This window comes from Homo sapiens, chromosome 1 (genome assembly GCF_000001405.40).
Source record: "Homo sapiens chromosome 1, GRCh38.p14 Primary Assembly".
In the NCBI taxonomy this organism is placed as follows: domain Eukaryota; kingdom Metazoa; phylum Chordata; class Mammalia; order Primates; family Hominidae; genus Homo; species Homo sapiens.
The window spans coordinates 167319068-167333919 of NC_000001.11; the positions used below are offsets into that span (position 1 = coordinate 167319068).

General features: G+C 37.2%; 1 protein-coding gene across 13 annotated transcripts in view, besides 1 other annotated feature; it reads left to right on the forward strand.

Annotated features, from left to right (window-relative positions):
- The window catches only part of POU2F1 (POU class 2 homeobox 1), a 206461-nt gene that overhangs the window by 98183 nt on the left and 93426 nt on the right, over positions 1-14852 (forward strand). For 11 of the 13 annotated variants that reach the window (NR_037163.2, NM_001365848.1, NM_001365849.1 and 8 more), the window contains one exon: positions 13403-13468. Coding sequence is in view for 10 of the 13 variants with exons in the window: in XM_011509655.2 (XP_011507957.1) it covers positions 13403-13468 (66 nt within the window). In the remaining 3 variants the exon portion in view is untranslated. Of the gene's footprint in view, positions 1-11; positions 7443-10002; positions 10240-13402; positions 13469-14852 lie in introns of those variants that run through there. The other 2 variants (XM_047422869.1, NM_001198783.2) reach the window with 2 other exon arrangements.
- Positions 8650-10742: an enhancer, noted in NCBI's record as "VISTA enhancer hs1331". NCBI's record gives its function as "enhancer in: neural tube[4/7] | hindbrain (rhombencephalon)[4/7] | midbrain (mesencephalon)[5/7] | forebrain[7/7]" and the evidence as "EXISTENCE:transgenic organism evidence [ECO:0001131][PMID:17130149]".

A 14852-nucleotide genomic window follows, 5' to 3' on the forward strand; every position in this document is an offset into this window, starting at 1 on the left:
TATTTGACGGGTGTTGCTCATGACAGTTGAGGTCCTCCTCAGTGTCATTCTTGACATGGCTGCAACCAGGGGGTTTTTGGGATCCTCCCAAAACCTCTTCCTGGGTATCTGGCTCATAGTAAGGTTTCAGGTGTCTTGATGGTATCCAGATAGGCTGCTGGTTTTGGCCTGGAGAAACACAAGCATAACCTCTACCCCAACTTATTATTTTACCTGTTTCCCAACTTTTTGTTGTCGGATCTCTCCACCAAACCAGTTGTTTTGCTTCTGTCTTTGCAGCTGGTTTCTGTAGATGCTGTTTAGCTGCTGATAACATCTGGGCTTTAGGCAGGCTCAAAAAATTTAAAGTCAGTAATGCTAGATTCAGTTGCATATGTGGTGTCCCGTAGTTCCTGTTTCCCCCCTTTTGCTTTTGCAACTGCTGTTTCAGTTAGAGATTCATTCTTTCCACTATGGCTTGTCCTTGAGAATTACATGGGATACCAGTAATGTGTTTAATATTCCATAGAGAGAAAAATGTAGCTAGAGCTTGGCTAGTATAGCCTGGGGCATTGTCCCTTTTAATAGAAACTGGAATGCCCATCACTGCAAAACACTGCAAAAGGTGACATTTAACACAAGCAGAAGACTCTCCTGATTGGCATGTAGCCCAGACAAAGTGAGAAAATGTATCTACACATACGTGCACATAAGCTAGTCTCCCAAACGAGGGAATATGGGTGGTGACATCCATTTGCCAAAGAGAATTAGGTTCCAATCCTCGAGGATTAACTCCTCCTGTAAAAGATGAGGAATGCACCATTTGGCAAGTTGGGCATCACTTGGTAATAGCTTTAGCTTCTTTCCAGGTAATGCTGTATCTGCATTTGAGACCAGAGGCATTAACATGGGTTAAATTGTAAAAGTGTCTGGCATTAGATATTGCAGTAGCAACTAGGCAATCAGCCATTTGATTCCCTGCAGTCAAAGGTCCTGGAAGAGGTATATGAGCCCTAATGTGAGTTGATGTAAATAGGGTGCATTCTACTCCTAACTGCTGTTTGCAATTGGGTAAGTAAAGTCGTCAGCTGCTCATCTGTTTGGAATCGTAGCTGAGCATTTTCAACTAACTGTGTAGAATGAACCACATATGAAGAATCAGAAATCACATTAATAGGCATATCAAAAGCAGTCAATACCTCAATTACAGCTACAAGTTTTGCTTTTTGAGCTGAAGTATAGGGCGTCTGGAAAACTTTACCTTTCAAGCCAGAATAAGAAGCTTTACCATTACTAGACCCATCTGTGAAGACATTTTCAGCACCTTCAATTGGTTTAAATTTAGTTGTTTTAGGGAGAATCTAATTAGTTATTTTCAAAAATTGAAACAGTTTTCGTTTTAGGAAAATGGTTATAGAGAATACCTACAAAGTCAGCTAAGTGAGTTTGCCAAGTAAGACTATTTGTAAAAGCCTGTTGTATTTCTGCCTTTGTAAGAGGGACAATAATTTTTCCAGGATCATATCCATGTAATTTAACAATCTTAGTTCTCCCATTTCCTAGCATAGTAGCAATTTGATCCAAATAAGCAGTCAAAGTCCGTGAATTAGTTTGTGGAAGAAAAAGCCACTTTACAAGATGTTGCTCTTGAACAATAACACCAGTAGGTGAATGCTGAGTTGAAAAAATTAGCAAATCTAGAGTCTTCTCTGGATCTATTCTATTTATTTGAGCCTTATACGCTTGCTTCTCAATTAGCTGTAACTCTGCCTCAGCCTCCTTTGTTAATTGCTGAGGGTTAGTGAGACTAGGATCTCCTCAAAGGATAGAAAATAGATTACTCATGGCATAGGTAGGAATGCCTAGAGCAGGTCATGTCCAATTAATGTCCCCTAGTAATTTTTGAAAGTCATTTAATGTTTTCAATTGATCGCTATGTATGGTTACTTTCTGTGGCACAATGGTAGTGTCATTTACTAAGGTCCCCAAGTAGGGGTAAAGAGTAGTAGTCTGAATTTTGTCAGGAGCTATAATTAAACCAGCATGAAAAATCGAATTTTGCAAGTGATCATAACATTGAAGTAATATTTCTCGAGTGGGGGCAGCACAAAGTATATCATCCATATAATGAATAATGTAACACTGGGAAAATTTTTTACGAGTAGGTTCAATTGCTTGCCTTACATAAGTCTGGCAAATTGTTGGACTGTTTAACATGCCTTGTGGCAACACTTTCCTATAAAAACACTTAGCAGGCTACAGGTTGTTTACCGCAGGAATTGTAAATGCAAACTGTTCACAGTCCTGCTCAGCTGAGGGGATAGTAAAGAAACAGTCTTTTAAATCTATGACTATTAAAGGTGAATTTTTTGGAATCATAGCAGGAGAAGGCAATCCTGGCTGTAATGCCCCCATAGGTTGTATAACTGAATTAATGGCCCTAAGATCTGTCAACATTCTCCATTTACCTCATTTTTTCTTAATAACAAAGACTGGAGAATTCTGGAGGAAAATGTTGGAGCTATGTGTCCTTTTTCTAATTGTTCAGTTACTAAGTCCTCTAAAGCCTCCAGTTTCTCTTTACTTAGCAGCCATTGTTCTATCCAAATTGGCTTATCTGTTAACCATTTTAAACATATAGGTTCTGGAAGCTTAACAATGGCCACCATCAAAAATGATACCCTAAACCTTGGCAGGAACTTTGTCTTTCTACTTGAAGTGGTTCCTTCAAACCTTGCAGATTTTTTCCTAGTCCCATACCAGGGACATACCCCATTTCCTGCATCATATGTTGACTTTGAGGGCTATATAATTGTTCTGGAATTAGAACTTGTGCTCCCCATTGCTGTAATAAATCTCTCCCCAATAAATTTATAGGTACAGAAGTTATAACTGGTTGGATAGTCCCAGGTTGTCCATTGGGCCCTTCACAATGCAAAATATAACTACTTTGATATACTTCAGAGGCTTTACCAACTCCAACTATGTTAAATTGAGCAGATTGAATTGGCCACGTGGACGGCCAGTGCTGTAGAGAAATGATTGAAATGTCCATTCCTGTATCTACCAAACCTTTAAATTCTTTACCCTGAATAGTTATTTCACAGGTAGGACATTTATCAGTAATTTGATTCACCCAATAAGTTGCTTTGCCTTATTTGTGCTTCCAAATCCTCCTGTTCGTGTAGTTTCACTTTTCCCCATCTCCATATATGACACAATCAGGAGCTATGCTATATGCTCTCCTGGCTCTGCTTTCCAGGGAACAGAAGTAGATATAACAATTTGAATTTCCCCATTGTAATCTGAATCTATGACTTCTGTACGTACTTGCACTCCTTTTAAATTTAAACTAGACATACCTAGAAGTAATCCTACCATCCTCACTGGCAAGGGTTGACAGATTCCTGTTGGCACTTTTTGTGGGGGTTCCCCAGGCAGAAGGCTCACAGCTTTTGGGCAGCATAAATCTACTGCAGCACTACCGGCTGTGGCGGGGGACAGGCATTGTACAGGGGTGAGGGAATGGCCTGAGCCAGAAATGCCCCGGTTTGGGCGCTACTTGCCGAGACCAGGTCGGTCATGGAGACCCTAACCCAGTGGCGCTAGAGGAATTAAAGACACACAGAAATATAGAGTGCAGAGTGGGAATCAGGGCTGACAGCCTTCAGAGCTGAGAGCCACAAACAAAGCTTTACCCACATATTTATTGACAGTAAGCCAGTCATAAGCATTGTTTTTATAGATTTAGATTAAAACGGGAAACAAAGAGATGGGCTCTGGCTGGTTATCTGCAGCAGGAACATGTCCTTAAGGCACAGATCACTCATACTATTGTTTGTGGTTCAGGAACACCTTAAGCGGTTTTCCACACTGGGTGAGCCAAGTGTTCCTTGCCGTCATTCCGGTAAACCAACAACCTTCAGCATGGGCGTCGTAGCCATCATGAGCATGTCACAGTGCTGCAGAGATTTTGTTTATGGCCATTTTGGGGGCCTGTCTATGGCCAGATTTGGGGGCCTATCCTCAACACGTTCTTGTCTTCCCAATTCCTATGCCTGTGCCTGAAAGCACTTAGTAAATACTTGTGGAATCCATTAATGATTGAAATCAGTGACTTGGCAAAACACTTTAAACTAGAATGAAAGAAAGACAGTTATAGAAGTAAAGAAACAGTATGGTAAGATAGGATCATGTAGGATAGGCTAGACAGATAAGTTTAGTGAAATGGTAAAACTTTAATAGAGCTACACAAAGATTTAAGCTTTTACAACCAAGAAATTCAGGATTGGATTTTGTAATAGATTTAGTTTTAAAGAATGCCAGATTGTTAGAGTGAACAGTAGATGAGCTATGTATATAGCTGTAAAAATGTAATATAGCACAGGTTAAAAGAGACCAGAAACATGTCATTTCAAACCGCTTTCTGGTGGAGTAGCTTTCTCAGTGAGCCACCACTTAAATGACTTGATGAGATTAACTGACAGCCCATTCCTGTTTGATGCACTATCTGATTCCCTATAGCATGCTGAAGACTTATTCCATGGTATGTCTACCAGTTGAGTTGTAAAGTTATTAAGAACCATTTACTTGTTTGTGCTCCCAATACTGTTCATGCTAGTTGTACTAATTTTAATCACACTATTTATTTATTTATTTATTTACAGATGGAGTTTCTCTCTGTCACCCAGGCAGGAGTGCAGTCACGCGATCTCGGCTCAATGCAACCTCCGCCTCCTGGGTTCAAGCAATTCTCATGCCTCAGCCTACTGAGTAGTTGGGACTATAGGCGCATGCCATCACGCCTAGCTAATTTTTGCATTTTTAGTAGAGATAGGGTTTCACCATGTTGGCCAGGCTAATCTCGAACTCCAGAGCTCAGGTGATCCACCTACCTAGGACTCCCAAAGTGTTGGGATTACAGGCATTAGTCACCGCACCCAGCCTAATTACACAATTTAAATAACTATATAAACCAAGGAAAAGAATAGAAAAAGAAAGATGATGTTTCTGTGAAAATTAAGTTAAATGCTTTGGAAAGATTTGATAAAGGGTAATTACTAAAAAATACTGAATTAGATGTGTGCAAGAGAGCTATAAAATAGTAGGGATAAATTATTCTAAAAAAATAGAAAAGCATTATGGACTCAGATTGCCTCATGTGTCATATAATTCTTGCCCCACTTTTAAAGCAGTGTTTTTTAATCTATGAGACATGAAGTCAATTTAATAGGTTGAAGTCTAGAACACATCGCAATACATTTATACCTGGAAAGAAGCATTGTTCTATGGAACTTTTCTTGAGTTTTTAGTATTTAGTCTATACATATATGTACAATGTAAAATGTGACTTTCAGTGAAAAACGTAAAAATCTTTTGAGTTTTTTATCCAAACTCAAAAGGCTTTGGCCCAAAAAAATTGGTGAATGAATGTGTATTTATATGCTTTGGGTTAAAATACAATCATTATGTACTTGTGTTTATGATACTTAGGTTGACCATTTTGTTCAGCCAACCAACTACTGATCTCAGTCTCATGGGATAAGAATTTTTACATATTTTATTTTACTTGTCTTCCTCTCATGCCCTCCATATTGTGCCTGAGTCCCCAACCCCCACCATACCTCGGCTCTCTGTTTAGTAGCTATGTGACCCTAAGGGTCATTAACTAGGCCTCAGTTTACTTTTTATGAAGTAAGATTATCCTTCAGATTGCTTGTTATTTGGCAGTGCTTAATAGCCACGTTGATAAAGTACATGTCTTTCATGGTATCTGCCCATCTAGATTTTTAGTAAATGATAGACATTCCGTTAAGTTATTCTAAAAGATTTTTGGTGGGGGGAGGGGACACTGAGAGCCCCATAATGCAACCTTAGAGGGTATCATTTACATAGTCTGTGATGTAGTTGACAAGAATGGTGGCAGTGCCAATACCTATCACTTGATTCTGAGTCTCAAATTTTCAAGTCCTGGAATGTTGTTTCATATTTGGTGGGCATTAGTAAAATTATTTTAGTTTGTATGTGTGTGATGGGTTTGTTGGACTTTTTTTGTAAATAATTATTGATAATGCTTGAGGTACTAAGTATTTTTATTACAGAGAATTGAAATATCATTAAGTGTTTTCTGTAAGTAAGTTAATAGGACACTAAATTATTGGTAGATTGGAAAAGAGATGAAGGTTGGAAAGGATATTGGTGTACTGTTGAGATTGGCTGGGGTGAAACCAGTGGTGCTAAAAGATGCAGACACCCCCCATGATATAGAAAGGAGGTAACAGGCAATAATTGTTGAGTCAGACATTTCTGCTTGTTCAACTAGTTATATGGTCAGTACAGAATAGAGGGTACAAATGGCTATTCATATAGAACATGACCAGGCTGGATGTTAATGATTTAGTAAGGTAGAATATAGGCCGATCTCAGTTCACTCTCACATAAAAGGTGTGTTTTAAAACACTAGTTTGTGATTTAGTTGTCATTGCCCTCAATTTCATTTCTAATGATACCTACACTGGCCCATAAGATCATGAATATAAAAATATTTTAATACTAGTAGTGTCGGCTGGGCATGGTGGCTCATGCCTGTAATCCCAGCACTTTGGGAGGCCAAGGTGGGCGAATCACGAGGTCAGGAGTTCGAGACCAGCCTGGCCAACATGGTGAAACCCGTCTCTACTAAAAATACAAAAATTAGCCTGACTTGGTGGCAGGCGCCTGTAATCCCAGCTACTTGGGAGGCTGAGGCAGGAGAATCGCTTGAAACTAGAAGGCAGAGGTTGTAGCAAGCTGAGATTGTGCCACTGCACTCCAGCATGGGCAAAAGAGCAAACTCCATCTCAAAAAAAAAAAAAAAACTAGTAGTGTTAACCGTGAATTCTGGGTCCTGGAAGAGCGTTTGTCCCCTCTTTTAGAAAATAAAAAAAGGCTACATTTTAGGCGTAATTGTGAAATACATGAGTTTGAATTTGCCCTTTCAGCTCCTTTTTATACTTCCATATGTTACTACTATTTCCTATTATTACTACCTTCTATGAACCCTTTGCCCACATTACCCCACCCCCAATCCAGGTCCTCTAAACATCAGTTATTTTATCATTTATTGGCCTCTTCTCTAGTAGAAACAACCATTGCCTTACAATCAACTCCTCAACTAGGTGTTAAATGAAAGCAGTGGGATTGGATTAATTCATGCTCAAGTGTGAATGACTGACAATCCCACAAACCTCTCAAAAATGATTTTCCTTTGTACAACGGGTGTTCTTTCTAGGTTAAGTTTTAGTCTAATTGATTCTTTGCTATTATTTCAGACAGATGACCAAGTGAAATGGACATTTGAACTTTGTGGGAAAAGCTGTCATTTTCTTCTTTTGGACATAAATGTGCCATGGTTGGGGAGTACAGGCAAGAGACGGTGACAGTCCCTCTCCCAATCCATCTGTAGAGGCTTGGACAAACTCCTGGTATTTAAACTTCCCCTCTAAAATTAGTAGGGTACCTAGGTCAAGGGTGGTAGAAAGGGACTTTTCTTGCCTTTCCTTCCCACTGTAGCAATGTGAGCTTTTTTTTCTGGGTGAGCTTTGCAGTAGAGGGGAAGCGGGGGGTCCCACTCTAGATAGTAGCCTGTGTGGGCTGGTAAACTATAGCCTCCCTGCTACAGGTCTTGTGGGACTCCCTTAGCCTGAGGAGGAGGCTCTTTCACTAGGAAGGTGCTGCTCCTGTTGGGTACAGACACACTCCTTTGTTAGCAATGATTGTCTGGCTGCAAGTCATCCTTAGCTAATATATGAAAGACCACACTCACAGTAGAAAGGTAGTTTAGAGATGTTATTACATAAAGTAGAAAAGGGCAGATGGTAAGTTGCAGAAATATCCCATAATAAATGCAAATAATAAATTTTAAATTTCGTAAAGGCGGAAGAGGAGGGAAATAAACATTTATTGATATCTACTGTAATCTAGTCACATTCATCATTGCTTTTCATCTTTTCTCACCAAGGAGAATTTGTATAATCCAACATATTCTACCTTAAAAACTCATTTGAAATTTGTGTTCTCTTCTATAATGTATTCTTATTTTAATACAAAGTGGTGTGAAATATTAAATAAGATTGATGCTTTCAAAAGATGGACATGTTTATCCAGTGACTTGATGTCTGCCCTGGCACAACTGCATCACATTCCTCCAGTCCACGCTCTTGTCTGAGAAGCATGAAAGCATTTATCTCACAATAACCTCATGAAAGGGATATCATCATTTTATAGGTGATAAAATTAAGGCTCGAAGAAGGAAGGAACTTAAACAGGTATTACAGGTATTAAATGGCTGTGTTAAGTTTCTCCCCCAAAGTCTCTCCTCATAAGCATTTTGTGATTCAGTAAAACAGAAAAACTGGTAATGCAGAGTGCTGATCCAAAAGTTTAAGGTTTTTGGTCCTCTACTGACTTGCAAGGGAATCTTTTTAAAGGCCCCTTGTTAAAATCTGTCTTTCATTTCCTGAAGACTAGTTCTAAATAAAAACAGTTATTAATGGGCTGACACCTTTCAGAACTCTCCTCAAATCTAGTGCACTCTTCTGTGTATCTGTACACACCTGACTTTTAAACACAATGTCTTTGCTGCCGTTTACTGGTTTCTTCACTACACGGAAAACAAACCATTCAGTCTGCTGCTTTACCACCTCTCAGCAATTCCCTACGTGTTTAACTCATCCATAATGCATAGGAATAGCCAAGAGCACAGATTCTGATATCAGAAAATTCTAGTTTTAAATCCTGATTCCGAATTACTAGTGTGACATTGGATAAAGTGTTTTAGTTCTCTGTGCCTCAGTTTCCTTACTTTAATAATATATAAGGAAAGAAAGGGGTAATAATGCTTATTACTCCATGGAGATTTTATAAATCTCCTGAATTGTCTGTGATGATTAGGCTGTTGTCATTGTAATGCCTAAAAAATTTTGGGTTGATGACTTACCTTGTAAATATACTTTAAATTGAATAAACATATAGTTTAGTAAGGATTATATATATGTATGTATGTTCATTAAGTGAAATATACTTGAGAATACCAAGTAATTCCACAATTTACATGGCCCACCCTTTGACAATAGAGATTCTAAGTAACAAACTGTCTTCTTTCTACTTGAGATTTATTTTCATGGGGGAAGGATACTGCATAATATGTAGCATTCAACTAATCTATTCTGTTAATTTGGTAATATAAAAAGATTTGTAGATAATGAATTTCTATACTCTTTAAGATACTTTATACACCTTGCACTGCTTCTGGGTTTACTGTTGCCTCGTTTTAAAGTGGGACTTTCTCTTGACGGAAGTGTGTTAAGAATTGGAAAATTCCCTATCAGTAGACTAGCACCATCTTGACAGCCTTGTGTTCTGCTTCTACCTTGCTAATTGTTTCCTTGGGATTATTTGGATTGTGTAGAAAGCTTTTTGCAAATCCTCTTATTACTGAAGTCATTGTTGCCAGCAGGAATAAGATTAAAGGTGCTTAAGTCTGTAGGGTTGTTTCTAATTTGTACGTGTCATTTCAGTGGCATTTTAACAGAACTCTGTCTCCTGTACCTCCCTTCTCCCTTGGTACTATCTCCAGTTAGGTCCAAGAAGCCAGGCCATTGGAAGAAGTCTCATTTTATCCTCCTAATTATTATGCTGGCACTCAGGAGATAATTTTTCCCTTCATGCACTGCCAATTAATATGCAAATAGCCTGATAAATATTTATGCAACGATTTAAATTATGCAGGGAGTGCTTTCAGTATATTCTGTAAATGAATTGTTCATGGACTTCAAAGTGCTGGCTGCTGTGCTAACGAGGAGAGATTTGCATAAGGCCCTAATCACGCGCATACTGATTAAGCTTCATTATGGAAACTGCCAGCTGCAATCTTTGTTTCTATTTTATTACAAAAAGAGGAACTTTTTCATGCTTCAGTTGCCTTGACAATGTCAGTCCTAGCTGGTAGGAGAGACTAAAACTCCTCTGAGCAACTGAAGTTTCCTTATTCAGTTGAAGATTGCTATGGTGTAACAGAAGTTGTATTTTGCTTTTCCCCTTAATCCACTTTCCACCCTACGCAACCCCCCTCTTTTCGCTTAAGAACATACTGTAGATTTGTTAGAAATAGTAGTACCTTCTTTCCCCACCCCAAACTGCTACCTGTTTCTTCCTTGTTTGGACTCTCTGCTCCTCTAGAAGATTTCACAGCAATGCTGGACTGCAGTGACTATGTTCTAGGTGGGTACCAGCACAGTTCTTTTCTTAGAAGCTTTAATATGGAAATAGAGTGTGTCGGGTTGACTATGCATAAATGCTTAATCGCATATGCAGCCTGTGGCGGGGGAGGGGGAGAGTTGGACTGAGCAGGGAAGGAGGAAAGCATTTGCAAAGCACAAGCTTACTTGAATTTGCAGTAGGTCCCTCCCTGTGACTAGCTCTTCTGATTCAGAGGGTATCGTTAGTAAATACAGTTAATTTAGAGTTCAGCTCGAATGAATATTTTTGCTTTTTGGAAATTCCTATTGAGAACATTTCATGTAGTTATAAAAACATCTTAAATCTGAAACAAGGCATAGAACTGTACATATATAATATATACATATTAATAAAAATGTTTTTCATACCTAATGAGAACGTCTTATACAAAAACCAAAATGCTCAGTGAAAAATAAGGTTGAGTCACAATGCAGAATAGTTTTTATAAATGTTAATAAAGAGGGTAATTGTACTGGTTGCTGCAACAGATCTGTTGATCGATTTCCAGATTTTAGAAACTATTAACTTTTCAAATTTTTGCTAGGATTAGTCCTCTTTTTAATTTTTTTAAAATCAACTATATACTCTAGATAACTACAACTTTAAATGTTGGAAAACCTTTTTAGAGTTTTCTCTGTAGAACAGCAAGCCTTTTGGAGTGGAAGATGTCCAGCTTAAATTTGTTAAAACCATCTTTGGTGATGAAGATTTCAAATAAATCAAGGCACTTTGATTTTTAGATATATGGTGGCTAATGGTGGTCATATTTTGTGTGGAGTTATGTCTGTTTATATGCAGAATTATTGAGACTTTTTTAGTTACTCTAGTCACCTGGAAAGTTAAATGATATGAACTCCGGGACTTGGATATCTTACATTTAAAACTTTTGCAAATGACTTTTTTCCTATATTGTCATTTTCTGCACTTGAAAATTAAAGCTGCTCCTGTCACCTTCATAGTTGCCAAAGATAAAGTAAAATGATACTTCTGAAAACGTTTGAATTCTTATGCATAAGGCATGGCCTAAACCCAGGGTAGCAGTATCTGCCCAGCACAGTAAAAGCCACTATGTAAAGAGTGAATGACAGAAACAACAAATTTATGTCAGGAATTCAATCTTGTATTTACTCTTTGACATTTACTTAGTTAACAATTCAAAAAAAGGAAAGAAAAATACCTTTTTGGAATATTTTTAACACATCATTTTAGAAGTAGAAATTACATCTCTTACTTTCAGTTAATAGTAAGTATTATTTAAACAGTCTTCCCATTGTGCAATTTTATTTTTGTGTGTATGTGAAGTAATGTTTTATTTTTGTGTGTATGTGAGATAATTTTGTTAAATGCTTTTGAAGCTCTTGACAGTTCAGTAGAAGAATCTGAGATGATTCACTTAAAATACCTGTGACATAGTCTTTATAGATGGGAAAATTAGAATATGAATTGTACAAAGTCAGGCTCATGACTTGTTAAGAATTATGCTTATTTCTGCGGTGCCCACATATGTGAGAAAACTGTTACTCTTTTTATGAATGTTAACTGATTGATCATTTTTTCCACTTTCCTTTAAAATTCATTTAAAGGAAGCATGGAGCAGTATGTATGCTAATGGTATATTCTATTACATTTGTTGTGATCTCTGTTGACTTTCATGAGATTTTGGTTGTCATTCAGAAAGCTGATTTTTCACTAAGTTGTACACCTGTTCCTTTCAAACCTTAGTATGCTTTCAGATGATATTTAAATTTCTCTGGACAGTGAGAAGAAGGAAGTTGTAGAACTGCCCTCATTTATGACCACAAACATATGAATTTTAACCCTTTGAACATTAGAAGACCAAACCAAAGTTATGACAGAACTGCCTAAGCCCATAAGACAAGCATCAGTTACAGAAACTTTTACTGTATTGGAAAAGCTATTACACATCTTCTTGTTGGAAATGAAACTTATAAAAGAAAGACTCCTGATTTTTTTTCTCATCTGTTATGCATGGGGATAATTCGACTGTAAAGAACATGGTTGAGAATTCTGTCTAGTGATTGTTTTGATTTTCTAGTTAGATGTTTAAGCAGATGAAAAAATGTGCTCTTTGGTCAAAAACAGTATAGTTTAAATATTTGTTCTCTGTTAATAACTAAAGTTAAATGGTTCTTAACTTATTTAACCACTAAATAAGTTAATGTGGGTAAAGGCAGAACTTATTTGACAGTAAACTTGTTTGATCATAAATATTCTAAGTTTGAGTTTACAGTAGTAGAATAAGAGATATATTTATGTATATTCCGTTTCTTACCCTTTCAAAGACTTAGAAGAAAAGCAGAGTTCTTGTCTCTTCTCTTAATGTATTTTCTGGGATACCTAATATTGCTTGATGAAAACATTTTACTGTGGAAATAAACCTTCATTAAGTAGATAACCCAGAAATGATAAACTCAAATTAGCAGTTTCATTTAGGATATTGAGGTAGTATTACTTTAAGTGGGTGTGGTTGTAATGCAGTTTTGAAATTATTAGCTATATCTGTTATGCCTTACGGTACAACTTCTTGTGCTGGTTTATAGTTGAGGTATGAATTTAATATGTTCTCACTTTGACTTGTTTAGTTTGGTTGGGGAGGGGAGTAAATTTAGAGATAATTTACCTTAGACGTGTTTTCTTTTAGTTCATAGGTTGAGTTACTGTCCCATCTTTTATCAAGATTACCAGTGGGTTGTTTTGGTTATAATGAATGAATATCATTGCATATAGAAAAAGATACTTTATTTGGGAATAACATTTTATTATGTGAGGTGCTTCCCCCCTTTCCAGTTTTACTTCATGTTAAAAGCATTTATTCCTTTTACATATCAGGCTTTCTAATTTTCTTCAGGTTACAGTTCTGCTGTCTTTCTTTAAAGAATCTTAAAATTATTTAAAAAGACAGTTTATTTGTGAATCCCTTCAGGGTCTGGGGAATTTTGAATTTCTTCCAGATAACCTTTTATTATAATTTCTAGTATTTTAGCCAGACATGTATACACTGGGTCTTCTTAAACTATATGACTATAACATTAGTTAACCCTTTTCTCTGCCACAGTTTTGCCTCCTCAATCCCATCTCCATCCCCAGTTTTTTAAAAACCTTATTCTCCTCTGATTTATTGCAGACTCAAGAATGAACAATCCGTCAGAAACCAGTAAACCATCTATGGAGAGTGGAGATGGCAACACAGGTAAGAGTTTTCTGATCTAGCTTTTTAATTAACTCTAGTAGAGCACAAAGAAGAAAGTTTCCATGTAACTAGGACTTGTATTTGGCAAATACAGACCAATTTGAGTATTGAGTTGTCAAATATGATTCAGTCCTTTAGGAACTGGGAGGGATTATGTTTGTTTAAGATTACTTAACTTTCTTCTGCAGGCAGCTTCGTTGTTTTGCTTCTGTCTATCAGACAAACTATGCAGAAGTTAGGAAAACTGTCCTTTGGGTCAGATAGTTTTGGATATGAAATATGGGTTTACCACTTACTAGCTTGTGACTTTAGGCAATTTCCCCAATCTTTTTGAGACTTAATTTATTCAATTACAAAATGAGGATAATATATTTCAGGTTATTGTGAGTATTAAAGGAGATGATATATGTGGCATGTTAAGCAAAATGCCAGCTACACAGTAACTATTCAGTAAAATGTTTTTTCTTACAGATGTTAATCAAAATAGTAAATTTTATCTGCCCTACCTTTGCTATAAATTATATTAAAAGTTATGATAGTAAGTAGTTATAGACACATACCCATTTCTAATACATTCTTTTATTTGGTAATTTAAAAAAATTATACTTCATTAAACCTTTTATCAAGAGAAAATTATCATATAAATGAGAATACTGAGGCCCCATGAGAGAAAGGTAAATCTGTAAAGGATGGTTTGTCTCCACGGCTCATACTCTTGAGTCAGTATATTGCTTAGAGGATGTAAGACTATGTATCTTTATCATCTGCCAGAGAGGATACAGGGACTTCCCTGGTTTCTGGTAAAGGTATAAATCAAAATATGAAACCAAATAAGAAGACAGTTATGGGCAAGGATGAACAGAAAGTACTTGCTTCTAAAAACTAGGTTTTTCGCTTGCAGAGAGGGATCCCTTTTGACTTATCATTTTAAAAATGCTTAACCATGGGCAATGGTAAGAGTGAGAGGCACTCTTAATTTGTGGTAAATGGCTGAGTTGGACTAATGTAGCAGTTTTCCTGCCTGTATGTCTTTTGCTGTAAACTCTCCTATACCTGGAGATGCTTATGTTAATCTCTAAACTGTACATACCTCTTTATGTGAAACTGAGCTGTGGGGCTTCCATGTTCACCCCTGTTGTATTTAACACACTTCATAGTACTCTTACTGAGGCTAGCCAAGTAGACTTCTGTAGTATCTCTTAAGAAGGGAAAGGGCAGCATTGTATTCTGTCTGAATTGTCAGCCAGTCTCCTTTTTGTTACTTCTCTGTCCCCTGTTTGGACTCCATCTTTCTTTCTTGTTCAGCACTGGTTCCTATGCCAGTGCCGGTGCTTCAGCCACCTAGCTTAGGTGTGGGAAATGTTTGCAGAGAGAAATAGGGCAG